The following is an 18495-nucleotide window of genomic DNA, read 5'->3' on the forward strand; positions in this document are numbered from 1 at the left end:
TCCCTATCCAACGTTATGCTTGGCATTGACTCTAACAGCCTCTCTGCTCCCTTGGAAAACTCACCCAGGCAAGCACTGTACTTCTAGAAGAATCTTGATGTCAGTACTTTGTAAATCCTTCCTCGGCCCAGCCCTAAAAATCACCGGGTACAGACAGCCATCTACAACTCAGCCTCGCTGAGGGTTAGGTCGCCTCCATTTCAGGCAAGTGAGAAAAGTACACTGACTAAGCTGCAGGAGAAGGGATCTGCATCCTGTCTAGGGAGAAATCCTCGAAGTCTGCTGTGATAGCTCTTCCTCTTTGAAATGGTGATTAAGCATTGGAAGTGCATAATGAGAGAAACTACTTATAAATCTGTGCCTCTCAGCTCCAGGCCACTTCTTTTTCTGTAGGAGAAAATCAAGGATTTTGCCCTAATGGCATTGGAACAAAGTCAGGGCTGAGGCAGGCCGACAGAGAGGGAGGCTTCCAGCCCGTGGCGGCCCTGCTGACAGCTCGTTAGGAACTGTCCCTCTCCAGCTCCTGTTTCATTTCTTCAAGTTACAAAGCCTGACAAAGTTTGATGGGAAAACCAAGGCGGTAATGTCCCCCGCGGCAGCCGAGGCCCTGCTCATCCGTCTTTGTTTGACAGATACAGAGAGTAGATGTCACCTACAAAACATTTCACTCACCTCAACCAAATGTGCCGGGATGGCCCTGTCGCCCTCAAAGGACCCAACAGGAAGAATCCAGACCAAGGCTCATCTACCATAATTGAGATTTCTCGCAAAAGAAAATCATTTTTAACAAGACAGTTCCTGCAAACCAAATGCTCATTCATGTTCTCCTCAGAAAAGTACATATAATGCCTAATAATTCAAAGAAAGTTATACTTTGATTTACAAACATCTCTTCCCGGCTACATCCTCCAGCTGGTCTTTGAGGGCTGGCAACCATTTAAGATCTGAGAAGTCAGTCTGAGGTTCCACGCAGAGGGCCTGGGACTCTGATTTTGCTGGATTTTCAGGAAGGGGAGTGTAATGAAACAAAAATGCCTCTCCACTCCAGAAAGCAGAGGCTGAGATGCATTGGTATCTCAAGGTCTCTTCAACTCAGCCTCTGTCAGTGGTTCTCCAATCTTATAATCTTAACATACCTCAGAAAAATCTGTGAAGCAGACTTTTAAAATGATGTTTAAAAACATGTTTTTTTTTTGGTTTGTTTGTTTGTTTGTTTTTGAGGTGGAGTCTCGCTCTGTTGCCTAGGCTGGAGTGCAGTGGCACGATCTCAGCTCACTGCAAGCTCCGCCTCCCAGGTTCACGCCATTCTCTTGCCTCAGCCTCCCGAGTAGCTGGGACTACAGGTGCCTGCCACCATGCCTGGCTGATTTTTTGTATTTTTTAGTGGAGACGGGGTTTCACCATGTTAGCCAGGATGGTCTTGATCTCCTGACCTCGTGATCCGCTCACCTTGGCCTTCCAAAGTGCTGGGATTACAGGCGTGAGCCACCGTGCCCAGCCTAAAAAGATGTTTAAAATACAGATCCTGATTCAGAAGATCTGGAGCAGGGCCAAGGAATAGGCATTTTTAACAAACTCTCTAGGTGAGTCTGGCTGCAGGTAATCCTGGGGCCCCTTTGAGAAGCAATGCTACTATCTGCAGCTGCCCAGGGCAGCACCTCTAGCCAGGGTTCCTAAGAGCACCCTCAAGAAGCACCTCTTGGGGCAGCTCCCCTCCCCACTGGCTGCCAAGCCCAGACTTGGTTCTCAGCAGCTGTTCCTGTTAAAGGTAGAGCCAGTTCATCTTCAGGGTTCTTCTGAAGATAACAACAGTCCCCAGAGACCACTCCCTGAAGCAGAAGCACCTCCCAGAGACCACCCAGTGCCAACTTCTCAGATGCCCATCTGGAAGGTAACTCCCAATAAAGTCCCTGCTGAGCCCGATGCTGCCACATGACTTTGTCATAGTAGCTGCTGATTTTAGCCAATTGCTTTTTATTAGCTGTTAAGAACTAAAATTTGAAACCAGAGTTCAACTCTTAACCATTATATCACCTTGCTCATATTCATAATAACAGTAATTGATACAACAATTATTATGGGACTATTAAGTGCTAGTATTAGGGGTTATGCTCTAAGCATACAGTGACAAACAAGACAAATACAATTGGTCTTCCCAATCTACAGGTTCCCCATCCATGAATTCAATCAACTGCTGATTGAAAATATCTGAGACAAAAAAAATTAAAAATTACAATTAAAATATAGCAATACAGTATAGCAACCATCTATATAGAATTTATATTGTATTAAGCATTATAAGTAATTAAAGATGATTTAAAGTAGATGAGAGAATGTGCATGGGCCACATGTAAATACTATGCCATTTTATATAAGGGCCTTGAACATCTCCATATTTTGGTATCTGCAGGGGTCCTGGAACCAGTTCCCCCCAGATACCAAGGGACTCACAACTGTCTGGCTTTCATGGTGATAACAATCTTGAGAGCAATCCAAATGTATAAATGAACCATTCAGTGCAGTGTGAGGAGAGCAGTTCTAGGAAATTGCTAGGTTAGGTGCTAACACACTAGCCTAGACAAGGAGGATCAAGAGGGGTTTCTCAGAAAAAGTGAGGTCTAAGCTGAGATCTAAATATGGGCACAAATTAGCCAACACAAAAGCAGGAGAAAGGGGGCTCACAGCTGAGGATACAGCAGTTGCAAAGCCCCAGAGTTAAGAGAGCATATAACATGGTCAAAGAACTGAAAAGTGATTTGGTATGATTAGAGTGGAGAGGAAAGAGAGGTTTCAGCAACAAGACTGAAAAGGTACACTGGATGGGAAGGGTGTGTGGGATGGCAGGGGGATGAAGGGAAGTTGGTCAATGGATATAGACTTACAGTTAGAAGAATTAAGTCCTAATATTCAGTTGCAGAGTAGGGTGACTATAGTTAGCAACAATGTATTGTATATTTCAAAATAGCTGAAAGCCAGGACTTGAAATGTTCCCAACACTTACAAATGATAAATACTCCTGACTTCTTATGCATTCCATGCATGTAACAAAATATCACATGTACCCCATAAATATGTAAAATATTTTGTATCAAGATACACTGGACCCAGATTTAGAAGCACCCTATAAAACACCTTAAAGGGTTTTACTATGTGTCTATGGAGATTCATTAGGTATTAGTCAAAGCATGTAGCTGAGGAGATTTGGCCTGAGCCAATGTGTGCCATGCGCATGCAGTGGGAACTGAAGCTATGGGAAGATGACATTACCAAGGAAAGACCAAAGAGGGCCTCGGCCAGCAGCCTGGGATGTGCCAGCATTTCAGGAATGGAAAGAGAAGGAAGAGTCCCCAAAAGAGACTCAGAGAGGTAGTAAGAAAACATGAGAGGTGACAATGTGCCCCAAATCACAAAGCTAGTAAGTGGCAAACTTAGAATTCAAAACATCTCTAACATTCCAGAGCCATGCTCTGGACCTCAACACCTCTTAAATACTGTTTTCCCTTGCTGCTTAAAATTACAGTTGATATAAAATTTTACTTATACATATTTTTCTAGGAATTCATTTATACAACAAAAAAATCGTCAAGGCATTTGTTGAGTGCATCCTTGAGTTGCATTAGGAAGCAAACTTGTGAAACCTGCCTCTAGCTGCCTCCACATCTCTCCCCTGGTGTGCCTTGCCATGTCTTCAGTTTGGATATGCTTTCGTTCCCCCTAGGAGTGTCCCCTAGGGGATAACCACGTACAGTCCCTTGACAAATGCTTAGGATTTATCTCCAGAAGTGCTCCCACAGGTGCAAAAGGCACCCACAATTCTCCAAGGAGCAAACCAAACAGTAGTAATGAACATGTTCCTTACAACATGTGTGTCTTCTCCAAAAGAAAGATCAATGAATGCTCTGGTTGTTTCTATTGTTTATTGTTTTATCAAAACAATAAATGCTCATTCTAAATAAAACAAGTGTAGGATATATAACATTTCACAAGTATATAAAGCAAAAATAAGTTATTAAATTCCCCTGTCTCCCCCAACCTATTACCTGTAACCCCATTACCAGAAATATCCATGGCAAACAATTTGGTATATATATATATACACACACATATATATATATATATACATATATACACACACACTCACATATACACATACATATATACAAATACTTTTTAAATTGAAAGGATTCTATTATCTATATTGCTCTGAGACTTGCTTCTTAAACTATATAATGATCAAACTTTTTATATCTGTGTATATAGCTTTACCAACTTAATTTTTTCCACATACCAGCCCACGGTATGAAGGCACCATTACTTCTTTAACCAGTCTTTTACTGATGACCATTTGTATTGTTTCTGGGTTTTCTTGGCCTGCTTTGATTCCACAGAGTGTGAGGGGGCCCAGAAGAACATTATTTTGGGCTAAACTCTAAACTAAGCATTTTTTGGAATTTGACATTTTTTGTACTTACCTTTTCTCCCTCTTTGAGCTTGTTGGATGTTTCTCTCCTGCTGGTCCCTCCTAATCTTGCTGTTGCCTGATTTAAGGTATGTTTGTTGTTTTAAAGATTTCCTTATAGAGTCTAGGACTCTTTGGGGGATGTAAGTTCAGCAAATAAACAAACTATTGTCCTAACTTTACATTCTTATTTTAGAGGATTTCAGGAGCACAGGAAGAAGTTCTTCTGTTAACTGGGAATCGGCTTAAAAACCTAAAGTCATGTTTGAACTGTGCTTTTCATTTCCCTCTAAAGAGCATCCTAGCTAGAGCTTGACTAAATATATTTAAATTGAAGGCATATCTTATAACCTCAAAGAGCTAACAGTCTCCTACAGTCTGTTGGGGAAGCAAAATTGGCATTAGGGAAACAATTAGAGCACAGTTAAGTGCTAAATTATGTGGTACAAGCCCCTGGGCAACAGTTTGGGGATGATGACGGCTCAGAGGAGTTCTCTGCCTCCCAGGGGAAAGTGGAACTTGAGCTGGGTTAGGAAGCAGGAAGTCACATTCTGAAAAGTCTAGGCAGAAGGTGGAAGGTTTTTCAAGTACCAGGTAACTTCTCATACCTTCTCGTTTTCTGACATTTTAAAGTTTTTGTTTTGGGCCTGCCTACCTTCATGAGAATGGAAGCTTGATGAGGTCAAGGACTCTGTCTTTATTGTTCACCACTGAATCCCCAGTTCCTGGAACAGTGCCTGGCACATAGTGGATGTTCCATGGATATATGAATGAACAAATGACCATGGTGTGTGTGAGGAACTGTTCTGTCTGGAAAGAGGTGTCTCTGTCTCTGGGAGTAGAGGACTCTCCAACAGACTAGCAGAGGAGCAGCCAACTGAGCCTCAAAACACAGGAGCAAGTGGGATAAACAGGATAAACAGGATGTGGGAGCCACTCACAATTGCCAAGGTGGACCTTGTATAGATTGCAATAGGGGACTTGAACCTGAAATCAAAACAAAAGACAAAACTGCTCTGCACAGCCTACAGGACTCCATGTACTTGGTCAACCAACAGCTAAAGTTGGAAGAAAAAAGAAAAAAAAAGATTTGTTCAGTCCTATCCTACCTTTCCCTTGTTAAGAACATAGGGAACTATTAATGTGATCACAATACTTTTATTAATACCTACTATGATTGCATTCACTATTTAAGCAGATAGATTAATTGCTGTCTCATACTGAGCCAATTGTAGAACAAAAACTGGTCTGTTTTTTCAACTGTTGTTTTGTAGGTCTATATTTTGTTTTCCATCCTATATTTGTGCAATTGATTTTTGGGCCTAAATGCAGTGCTTTGCATTTTTTCCTGGTGCATTCTTATTGATTTGAGACCATCTTTCAGCTTATGAAATTCATTTAAAATCTTGATCCTATCATCAGTCACAGCAGTTATCCTCTTAGCTTGGTGCATCCATACATGCGATCTGCAAATACCCCAAGGATGTGGATGCCTAGATCTAATTTGGAGAATCCTAAGGGGCAAGGAGTGTTTGCCGGCTGACTCACCCTCAGTCATGGGCAAAACCGAAATGATGTGTGGCTGCTAGGACGGGGATATGTGGGAAACTTCAGGCTGGAGTTGGGAAAGGAATAACTGTTGGAATTCCAGGTTGAGGCAGATCCAAGTCACAATCTCTGGTTTAAGCAACCCAGAAAGATTTCTTCTAGGAAGCTGCTTTTATAAGTAAAAGGGGAAAAATAGCTTGATAATTTTTGAGGACAGGCAGCGACGGGGAAAGGGCACGTTGTTCAGTTTAGAAGCTAAACTAGGGGATAGGAAGAGGATGACTGGCCAGCTTAGACTGTTAGAACTTGGGTTTCCTCACTGGCAGGCAGATATTAGATTTGCTTAGAATCAAGACTGCTGTGAAGATCTTTCCTCTCTTGCTCTCGGGAATAAATCCTACTTTGGTGTTTTAAGCTGTTTCTCTTCTGTTAGCCACTCCCCAGATTTTCACTCAAATCCTGCATCAGTGTCCTTTGTACCTTTCCTCTCACTCTGTCTCTGTTGTAAAATCAATTATAATTTGCTTACATCTCCAGTTATGGGGGTACATTTTCCATCTGCTCCAAAATGCACACCCCTGGACTGCACCATTCCCCGCTCCTCCTGCCTCCCCCGCCCGAGCCGCCTCCCCAGCAACTTTATCTTCCTAAGCAGCTCAGGAACACAGATGTTTTCACCCTGTTGCTCCAGTACAAGGGTATTTTCCCAGTGTCTCTCTGTGTGTATGCTCCAGGCACCATCTCTCTGGGGAGGGAGAGAGTAAATGTTTTCATTCCAAACCCTCAGGGTCAGGTCTTGTTTGTCTAAACTGTGTTTGTTGCCGTAATTATCAGATTAGCTGATCTCTGACAGCAAGTTGGGGGTTGGAGATGGGGGAGACTATTAACCCTCTGTAGGATGGTGGCTGTGCTTTCTCATGGGAATACCTTTGGGAAGAGCTGTCATTTATCTTCTAACCTGGAAGATTTGTCTAGAATTCTTTTCACCAACCCTAACAGACCTTCATAATAGTCTGTTCTAAGTAAATCCAACCATCTAGCAGCCTCCACTGCTGGGATCCAACAGGCATTTAGCAGAGATGGAGGGTTGAAAGGGCATCTCTCCAGGGATCTGCTGGGAAGAGAAAGAAATGGAGCTTAAAGAGGATCTGGATAAATAACTCTACAAACGGTGTCGGTGTCTCTTAGACTGAATAAGGAAGCCAGGAGTAAGCACTGAACATCTTCAGCTAGTCCACCCATCCCCTCCCCCTTGGCATAAGTGCAGCGAGGCTACCAGGCCCCACTTAGCATTGTTTGGGGATTTTCTGTTGTTTCCGAGATTGTTAAGATAATTTTTCACCGCTGCTGTTTTAACAAAACTAAATGTGTAGACATTTGTGAGTCTTTGTCATCAGACTCATCAGGCTGGTGCTTTCAAAATGTTCACATCTGCCCTTTCCTTCTGCCCACAGCACCCTTGAACTTCTATATGGTCTCCAAAGACATGATAAATACAGAGATTGCTCTCTCCTCTCAACTGCAACAGTAATGATTCCTTTGCATTTTAATTAAGTCTTTTACACATGAATAAGTCTTTATCCTCAAATGGACTAAAGACTCCTCGAGGACAAGAACTATCCTTCAGTCCCATACATTGGTTACCTGGCAAAGGACCCTAAATGCAGGTATTTAATAAATATCTTTTGTTGACAGCATTTTTCCAAACTTCTTTTTTCTATTTCTCATCTCTGTTCCTTTCTGGGTTTGTATTTGGTTTTTAGTTACTTATGATGTTTACAGATCCTTTATTTCTGGAACGGTCCTCCAATTCATACTCAACTCAATTCCTCCTCTTCTCTTCAAACACACACACACATACACACACACACACACACACACAGAGAGAGAGAGAGAGAGAGAAACCTTTACAGAATATCTGTATACCTAGTACTGTACAAATATATTCTATGTGCAAAATCTTATTTGAAGCTCACCATGGCTTGTGAGATAAGTACTATTACATGTAAGCAGGCAGAGACTCAGAGAGTTAAGTAACATAAACAAGCTCCCACAATTGTAAGTCCCAGGTGTGTGTGACTCTAAAACCCATACAAATCCCATCTTGTTAGTTACTAAAGTGGAGAAAAGTTCAGATAATTAGAGAAAACATGTTTTGCCCAAAACCTAACTAAAAATCAACCAATCTATCTTCAGTATTTTTCCCCAACAAATATAGCTATAATAATTTCTTTGTAAAATTAAAAGAAGCTCAAACCCAATGAATACATTCTGGACAATATCTTATACAACAAAATTGTTTTGATATTGTCTTAGCATATGTTTTAAAGTGAATTTGACTCATTCATCCATGTCCATGCTGTTTATAAAGCTGTCACTTCTTGCAGGCAAACATGATTTTTAGAATATTCTATGTAATCCACATACTGATTCATCAAACTGTTATTGAAAAACTGCTATTGACTTAGAATATCCCCATGTTCTGAGAACACTAAAGTCTTTCATCTTTATTGATGTTGCCAGGCCTGGTTCCAAATGTGGAGAGGGCACAGGCAGAGATTCTTGGGAGGAAATGTTGAGAAGCAGAATTGGTCAGTGAGTTTCCATATGGTGCTTCTGGTCAGCCCCAGAAGCAGGTATCAGATGGATTTCCATGGAAGCAAACAGCCAGGGAGCCAGCTCTTCTCTCCCTCTAAGGATGTGTTCTGTTCATTATGCAGCCAGCTAAGATGCCATCCTTGTCCCTGTTCTACTCAGGGTTTCCCTCTCTCTGGCATCTCCCTCCACTGCTCTTAGATCCCTCACCACAAGCCACATAGGAGGAAGATCCAACAGATCTTGAATAGGTCAACCAAACTGTGTTTGTCAGTTCTGATAAGAGAGTCAATTGTAGAGAAATTCGAATGACTATTTTGCCCCCAATCCAGAAACCCCTGTCCTAACTTGAATAAAAATTCACTTGGCTACATAAGGAAGGTTTTTAAAGAGCCTGGGAAATGGAAAGAGCGATGATACAAGTGCCTAAAGGGAAATTCAAAGAAGGGCTTATTTTTAAAGAAAAAAATTCAGAAAAATAGAAAGGTGATTTTGCCATCTTGTGGAAGAGTATTGCACACATGTTGAGCAAAATGAGACTGGTTCTTATGATAAAATAATTTCAGGTTCTTAAAATACCTTACTTGATCCTGGTTACGAATAGTCAGCTTGTTCTTGTTAAGATGTTTGAAGTGCTCAGGGTATTTTCTGGCCCAGATGCCAGGAGATCTGACTGCCCCTAATAGCTGTGTGGCCTTCAGTGAGGCATATATCCTGACACTTATCTGGAAAGTTGGTATTGGACTAGACGACATCAGATTATTTCTTTTGTTGGTGTGGCATCATATTCTGGGCCCCTGGAGGGAAGCAAATAAGGAAAGTTGTTTAGAAAAATGACATTTTCTTGATTTAATTTTGCAAAATGCTTAGAATGGTGCCTAGCACATAACAGTGTTAGAATTGTTAGTGTCTATAGAAGTGGAAGCTATTATAGAAGTGTTAGCTATTATCATTGACATGCTATGGATGATGAGCATGGATCCATGCACTAGAGACACATTTTTACCTCCATATCTAAATTTAAGAAAAATAATGCAATATTAATTGAGTATTCTGATAACTTTAAAGCCCTTTGTCTCTCTCTCTCTTTTCTTTTTTTTTTTTTTTTTTTTTTTTACATGGAGTCTTTCTTTATTACACAGGCTGGACTCAAACTCCTGGGCTCAAGTGATCCTCCCACCCTATGCTCAGCCTCCAAGTAGCTGGTACTATAGGTGTGCACCACTGCACCCAGCAAAAACCTTAATAGAAAGGAAATGAGCCATGACTACTGAAAATTAAGACTAGCTATTATCCACAAGAGGTGCTCGCTGCCTCTTTGCAGAAGTGATTCTCAGCCAGAGACCTCAGTATTTGGAGAAGAGACCTCTTATCTATTCCCCAGGGGTCTCAGACCATTCAAATCAAAGGAAAACAATTGATAACCTTGTAATTAATGGAAGGAGGGTCTGCTAAGCAAACAACCACATAGAGATGTTTTCTCTGAAAATTCAGCTTTATTATTTGGCCATGGGATGAATTGGGCTGCCTTGGGAAGCAGGAGTTTCCCTTCCCTGGATTCAGGGATTCAGACATCAGATGGCTAGATGGACTGCATGACTTTGAAGAACCTTTCCCACAAAGTCTCTGATTCTAAAGCAAAGCCTACCCAGAAATACAAAGGTCACAATGCCTGTGGACAATAGAGCGGCAGAGACTGGGCTTCAGCTAGGACACCTAGTTCTCTGAGAGCATAATATCAGCCTGGAACATCTTGCACCTTGAATGGTGGAGCTGTGTCTTCTAAGACTTTCGTAAAAAGGTGATTCATGGAACGCATCACTGAGCAATGCCCTAGTTTATTCTCTCTTTTCAATTCTAAGACCTAAGAATGGAAAGCACTAAGGGAATGTCAGAGCCACACAATAAGGGAAGGGCCAGAATCCTGGTTTCCAGTCCAGGGCTGAACCTCCAGCTTTCCCTCTCTATAAACAGATGGAGTTGTCATGGGCTGAAGATACTTTCTAACTACTTTCTGCCCATAGCAACAGTCCAATGAAAACCTTCACTGAATAGAAACTCATATGCAATATTAGAGCAAGATGAACAGAGAATAAGACAAAAGAAAATAAATAAAGAAGACAATGGCAAAGGGGCAGAATATAAAGAATTGAAGAGGCAGAGTAGAGAAAACAAGAAAATGAAGGGAGTTTTTTTAAAAAAAAATTCTACTCTAAATGTATGAGATGTAGAGAGCCTTAACATTTAAAAACTGCAAAGAAAGAAAGATGGTAACATGCATTACATACTAAGAAAGCCACACAAAAGAGAGTAAGGTTAAAAAAAGTTATAAATCTCTATAATTTAACTAAGATTATCTGATGAGAACATACACAAGAAATGCTAGCTGCCTCTTTTCAAAAGTAATTCTCAGCCAGAGGCCTCAGTATTTGAAGAAGAGATGTCCTGTCTATTCCCCAGGGATCCCAGGCCACCCAAATTAAAGGAGAACAGTTGATAACCTCATAATTAGAAGCAAGGCTTCTGTTGTGCCACCGTAGGGCCTTTACACTGCCTTTTCTCGGAGGACTCCCTTCCTTCCTCCCTTCACTACTCTCCATTTCCTGCTTGTCGTTACTCTAATTACTTTTACTGTTACTGTGTGGTGGTTGGTCTGGAGGACCTTCAAAATCCCTTCCAACCCTCTGAGTCCACAATTCTCTACTTCTGCTTTCAGAAGTACTCCCTACTGTCGCCTTTACTGGGATCTGAGGTCCAGGGAATAGTGTAGCGGTATGTGATGGGCACAGGGATGACTCACGTGATAGCTTGTGCACATTGCCATGGCTCAGCTATCTCTTTGCTGGTGGAAATAATCTGGAAGAATTGGTTCCAGGTCCACGGAGAGGTTGCTCGGTATCAGACAGTAGTCGCCATTGGAAGCAGAGGCCATGTTTCAAAGTAGCTGAGAGTTATTTTATTAACGACAATAAGGGTGATGAACTAAGTAATTTGATGAGTACTTAAAGACAAAACCATAGAACCTGCCCTTGAGGAACGCACAAACCAAATGTGGCAACTCTAGGTCCTACGCATTCATAATAATCATCACTGCCTGGTACTGAGCACCTTCTAGGTGCTGGGTACTGCTAAGCGTGTAACCTTTGCCAAGTTATTTAATCCTCATGACATCCAAATGAAGCAAGTACTGTTGTCATCCCCACTTTACAAATGAGGTAGTGGAAGCCCAAAGATTACATACTTTACTGCTATCAGGCAGCTTGTGACAGATTGGGATTCAAATACTATATGCTTGGAGGCACATTACTAGGCTGCCTTCACAAGTCCCCTTTTTGCATCAGCCATAATCCATTTAATGAGTCAAGATTGATTGCAAGAGAACTGAGGTCCCCAGATTCATCTCACTCTGATTTTAACACTACTTTCAAGAACTCATGCTCCTATGGGTCCTTTCTCACCGTGTCATCTGTGATCCAACCTGCTTTAACCTGTCTGTTCTCTTACCTGTCTGAACCTGCAGATGCCCACACTGAGGGATTCTCAGCCCTGGAATCCTCCATGTCTTCCCCTCACTTCACCAATCTATCCAGGACCCTGACTGCATCAAGCCTTTGTAGCAATGGCAATGTTACCCCAAACTGACTGCAGATGCCTGTGACCTTTGGGATTCCCACCTGTGCTACTTGTCCTGTTCTTAAATTAAATAAATGACCAAGTCAGGGATCATATGCCATCTTCAAGACAGGAAGTCCTGCTCTCCGGCATCTTGTCCCCTGATCCTAGGCATGGTGTCACTTTCTGCCCATAGGAACAGTCTAATAAAAAACTTCACTTGGACTCTATACTAATTTACAATTAAAATTACTAGCTTTGTGAGAGTATGCAAAGTATTCATGAACTAGGATTTGGGGATAGAAGAGGCAGAAATGTTTTCCCATAATAATGACTAATATAGCCATCGCAAATGATATTATCTTTTTTTACTTAATCCAACAATACTTTTTCAACCCAACTTGAAGATTATAATTATCTGAAAAGAAGGATATTAATTATAATTCAGACTTTTTTATACCAACTTCCCCATTCTTCCAGTCACCCCGCCCTACCTTCCCCATGCCCTCCAGGCATCCAAAATTGTGGAATCAGCATGTATAGGGCTGGGTACCCTGTGAATACTCAGTAAATATTAACTGTCTAAATGAATTAATCTATTCGCCTCTGGTATAAGTACTTTTGCTGTCTCTCAAATTCAAATCATTTCCTCTCCTTTTACTAACACAGGCATTCATGCATTTAATTCAAAAGCAGTTATTTACTTAGGGTTATTATGGCCTCCACAAATGCAGAGTCTGGTAATGGTGCAAGGCAGTATGAGAACAAGTGCTCAGATGAGGGCCGCAGCAATGGGGAAATAGAAAGAACGTGGGCCTTGACCTCAGCCGACCTACCTTAATTGTAAAAGTGGAGTATTGACACCCAGTTCCCAGGGTCGTTAATAACATTGAATGTTTTGGGGTTTTTTTGAGCACTGTGTGTACAAACCTCTTCAATTCTCCCTGAGCCCCTACATGGGGAAAGTGGGACTTTAAAGGGCTGAACAGTTTGCCTACCTTGAAGTCTCACTGCTAGCAGTGGGCAGTGCTGGAATTTGAACACACTCTTAACTCTTCTTTACAATATCTTCTTTGTGGGAGTGGTCTTGAGAATTAAACTCCTGTCAAGTTCCTCTCAGTATGTCAGTTTCCTCATCCCCTTGTCAGGAGAGGAGGACACTAAGTTCCACGTGTGGAAATTGGTCATGTAACCTTAACCCTGGAGAAATGTGAACGTTATCTCCTGAGGGGCAGCGGTCCACCGGCCACTCAGACCTATTGTTGCCCCAGGAAGGAAGAAAGAATTGGGATTCTGCTTCCCCTTGAGGGGACTGAGAAGTAAAACTGCAGCTAAATCAGTGGACTTTGGGGACTTGTGGGGAAGAGTGGGAAGGCAGTGAGGGATAAAAGACAAGAAATATGGTGCAGTATATACTGCTTGGGTGATGGGTGCACCAGGATCTCACAAATCACCACTAAAGAATGTCTCATGTAACCAAATACCACGTGTATTCCAATAACTTATGGGAAAAAAAAAAACTCTTAGCCACTCTGGAAGGACTGCAGTTAAATTACAAAGAGAAGCAGTACATCCACTGTCAGTACATCTACTCGGATGCTTTTGTCTTTTCTGGTTGCAGCTTGGTCTTGTCTTCTTTCTTAGAAAATGTTCCTTTACTTGTGAAAAGTGCTATCCTTGTTTCTGCTGAACACAGAGAATAAGGGGGTTTGTCTACACCCATGTTGGCTCCAAGAGAGGATCAAAGTGTCCTTTGGTTTAGATGTGGTGACAGCAGCTGGAGAACTAGGGGAACCTGGAGGAACTGGGCAGATGGAGGGAGGATAAGGTGGGAGGCAATTCTAAAGCCAGGATAACCATCTCTTACTACAGGGGATTCTACTACCAGCTCTTCCCAGCAGGCTTTTTCACTCCCCTGCAAAGGCAGACAGTGCCCCAGGAGGTCAGAGATGGAGCTATCCTAATGCCTTGATAGGAGGCAAAGACTGGATGGAGGCAGTGGAGTATAAAAAGAAAGATCTGGCCGGGTGCGGTGGCTCACACCTGTAATCCCAGCACTTTGGGAGGCCAAGGCGGGCGGATTACAAAGTCAGGAGTTCAAGACCAGCCTGACCAATATGGTGAAACCCCATCTCTACTAAAAAAATACAAAAATTAGCGGGGCATGGTGGCACGCGCCTGTAGTCCCAGCTACTTGGGAGGCTGAGACAGGAGAATCACTTGAACCCGGGAGGCAGAGGTTGCAGTGAGCTGAGATTTCGCCACTGCACTCCAGTCTGGGCAACAGAGCAAAACTCTGTCTCAAAAACAAACAGACAAAACAAAACAAAAAAAAAAAAACAACCTTATCAAGCTTCAGGGCCAAGGATACCAGCTGTGAGATTTGAACAAGTTACTCAACCTTGCTGAGTGTCCTGGTGTATAATGACAATGAGACACACACCTCACAGGGAAGCTGTGACAAGCTAATGAAGTCATGTTTATAAGGGACCTGGCAAAGTAGGTGACAGTTGAGCACCTGGCGAAGGATGTGACACTCAGGCTGCAGCCACAATACATGGGAGAATTTGGCTTTTGCTATATCTTACCCAAAACTTGGCTGGGTTGTTCTGATCCTCCCAAGAAAATGTATAATGACAGTAACTCTAATAGCCACTAAAGTTAGTCAATTTTGGGAAAAGAAAAAGGAGAAAAATGAGCTGCAAAACAATTCCACTATCAGAGAGGGCAAAAATGGAAAGGAAAATTTTAGAAGAAAAGTAATACATAGTAAATCTAGAAAATAATCTAGAGTACCTCACTAGAAGGTCTAAATTTAACCTTAAAAAAGAAATCTTGGTGCCTGGGGTGGAAAAACAAATCATCTTTTTTGCTGACTGTACAAGTAAGATGATTAAAGTAGCAATAGAAAAGAGCTTTTAAAAAAATGATGGTAAAAGGTAAAAATGGAAATCCCACACGTGACTCCTAATTTTAAAACAATTATAGTAAAATATTTATCACATAAGTTTACTGTCTTAACCACTTTTACATGTAGGGTTCAGTGGCGTTAAGTACATTCACAATGCTGTGCAACCATCACCACCATCCATCTCCAGAACGCCTTTCATCTTGCAAAACTGAAACCTCTGTATCCATTAAACACTAACTCCCCATTCCTACCTTCCCCTACTCCCTGACAACCACCATTCTACTTTCTGTCTCTATGAATTTGACTACCCTATGTACCTCATATAAGTGGAAGCACACAGTATTTGTCTTTTTGTGACTGACTTATTTCACTTAGCATAATGGACTCCCAGCTTGTTAACTAGATATATTCCAAAGTCATTTACAATGTGATGTATGGATATAAGTCATAGTAAATGTTTTTTCTTTTTTCTTTTTTTTTTTTTTTTGAGATGGAGTCTCGCTCTGTCGCCTGGGCTGGAGTGCAGTGGCGCCATCTTGGCTCATTGCAATTTCCACTTCTCGGGTTCAAGCAATGCTCCTGCTTCAGCCTCCCGAGTAGCTGGGACTACAGGCATGCACCACCACGTCCAGCTAAATTTTTGCATTTTTAGTAGAGACGGGGTTTCACCATGTTGCCCAGGCTGGTCTTAAACTCCTGACCTCAGGCGAATGTTTTAAGTAAAGAGAAAATTCAGATCCTACCAGGCTGGCTTGAACCAATGCCAATTTCCATAATGAAAATGGCTCTCCCCAGATGTAGAAGAGGAAGTGCATACAGATGCAATGTGATCCCAGTGAAACCCCAAATGCAGCTTCTGGGGCCACAGACTTCTGCCTCTCTCTTGAATTTCTTTGTGTTGCCACAACGTAAGAGTTCAGAGAGGTGTTGACAGCATTTCCCTTTATGCTTTCCGTAGGGTCCATATCATTATTACCCCTTCCCTGGACATTCACAATAACTCCTAATACACAGGCAGGATATAAGTTAGACTACTTATATTTACTGAGAACTTACCATGCACCAGACACAGTCAACTTTTTAAAGTGGACAATTTTAAAGAGAAAACTGTAATGGGCAACATAATCATCTCCTACCATCTCTGTTCCTTTCTTTCTCAGATTATGAAGTAGCTATGGAATTTGAATGGGTTGATTCTTCAGCTCCCAGAAAAAAACTTTGATTGGTTTAACTGGCCACAGTAATTGATGTGGGAATGAGGCCCTGACATAATTTCAACTTAGAAGACATGTTCACTGGAAGTGAACTAGGAAGCATGAAGTCTCAGACATTCGACACTGAAAGAATAAGCAGTCTTAGGATGAAGGCAGTGCTATGGACACCAGAACTCCATGGTTCAGGCTGTTCAGCATCAACTGTTCCTGACAGCCACCCTAACGTGCCTCCAGTTTCCTGGGCCAACAGATGCCTGTCATTGTTGAAGTTTCTTTGAGTTGGGTCTTCCGTTACTTACAATTTAAATCACCCTCACTGATTACTATGTACTTAATTGTTCTCCTCCACTCTCTGCCAATCCATATGCTGAAGCCTTAACCCCCAACGTGATAGTATTTGGAGACTGGAACTTTGGGAGATAATTAGATTTAGATGTGGTCATGAGGATGGGACCTTCAAGATGAGAATAGTATCCTTATAAAAAGTGGTACTAGAAAGCCTCTCTTTCTCTCTCTCTGCCACGTAAGAACACAGCAAGAAGGCAGCCATCTGCAAGCCAGGAAGAGAGCCCTTACCAGAACTTGACCATGCTGACACCCTGATCTCAGATGTGCAGCCTCCAGAACTGCAAAAAAGACACATTTTCATTGTTTAAGCTACCTAGTTTATGGTATTTTGTTACAGCAGCCCAATCTGACTAATACGCTGATACAGGCATATTAGGGTACATGCCACCAGCAGAGTGGTTCAACTGCAGGTCCACACTTACCCAGTGAAGGTGACTCAGCCTAGAGTGTGACTCAGTCTCTTCCCAACCCTGTCCGCATCACCCCTGGAAGAGTCAGCTCCTCCCACAACTGCAGTCCTGACAGCAGCATCATGCCTCTGAAATGATCTTGCAAACAAGCTGTCATTGGAGTGCTGAGAGAGTGGCAATATCAACTAAAAACATGAAGAAGAAGAGCAACAAAGAGGAGGAAGAGGAGGAGAAGAGGGAAAGAAGTGAGGCGCTGTGGTGAAGAATAGTACTTCTCATCTCCACCAGAACAGCAGAGAACAATGAAAGCACACCATCAGGACGTCTCAGGGTACAGCCAGAAAAGCCATTACCATTTGTGCCAATATCTTTGAAATCTTGTATTTTGTCATAAAAAGTTATGCAGTTTCTGTATTCTACTTCATCATGTGCCTTTATATTTTTTATATCAAAATGTCTCCCTAAAAACCTTTGAGAAGGGCCATTTTATCTCAAATCTTTGAAATAATTTCCTAGTCCCACCATGCTTGCCCTGAGATGTTCACACCCCAATATGAGAAGCACATGTACATCAGAAAGAGGACTGGACTTAGAGTTTTAAATCTAAGTTCTTTTCCAATACCATGCTTTCCTAGTCTTGATCTTGAAAAATCACTCATCATCTTTAAGCTTCTCTTTCGTCATGAGTGAAAGAAAGGATGACACCAACACCTTCTCTCCCTTTCTCATAGAAGCATCAAGCTCCAAGTAGTTAATGTGAGAAAAAGGACTTGGGAGAACAGGAAGCTCTGGCCTTTTTGTTGTGTAGGGTATTTTCCCAAGAATACTTTGGAAGTTTCCTTTAATTTGTTCTTGGACTAACCTTTCCTATTCACTCTGATACCTTTTTGTTCAACCCTTGTATCTGTGCATGGAAGAGCACAGGAGGCAAAAAGAATAAGGATTTATAGTCACTTGTCAATAGGCGTGGAAGAGAAGTCAGATTCTTATTTATTTGAGATAAAGTCTAGCTCTGTTGCCAGGATGGAGTGCAGTGGTGTGATTTCTGCTCACTGCAACTTCCACCTCCTGGGTTCAAGTGATTCTCCTGCCTTAGCCTCCCTAGTAGCTGAGATTACAGGTGTGTACCACCACTCTCGGCTGATTTTTGTATTTTTAGTAGAGATGGGGTTTCACCATGTTGACCAAGCTGGTCTCGAACTCGTGACCTCAAATGATCCACCTACCTCGGCCTCCTAAAATGCTAGGATTACAGGCATGAGCCACCGTGCTTGGCCAGATTCTTATTCTTGAGGTGACCTCTATATCCCTTCGTTCCCTTCATGTCTGTATCTTCCACCCTTATCATGGCATCTCAAGTTTCCCTACTTAAGAGAATCTGAGCCTGTATCCCTCATA

At 42.0% G+C, this 18495-nt stretch overlaps 1 long non-coding RNA gene across 4 annotated transcripts in view; it reads left to right on the plus strand.

Annotated features, from left to right (window-relative positions):
- Window positions 1-17510, plus strand: part of GOT1-DT (GOT1 divergent transcript) — a 30898-nt gene extending 13388 nt beyond the window's left edge. For 3 of the 4 annotated variants that reach the window (NR_183992.1, NR_183991.1, NR_183993.1), the window contains 2 exons: window positions 7462-7674; window positions 16286-17510. This is a non-coding gene — a long non-coding RNA (GOT1 divergent transcript). Of the gene's footprint in view, window positions 1-7461; window positions 7675-9726; window positions 12794-16285 lie in introns of those variants that run through there. The other variant, NR_183994.1, reaches the window with a different exon arrangement.
- Window positions 17511-18495: the final 985 nt, after the last annotated feature.

Source organism: Homo sapiens, chromosome 10, assembly GCF_000001405.40.
Source record: "Homo sapiens chromosome 10, GRCh38.p14 Primary Assembly".
Lineage (NCBI taxonomy): Eukaryota > Metazoa > Chordata > Mammalia > Primates > Hominidae > Homo > Homo sapiens.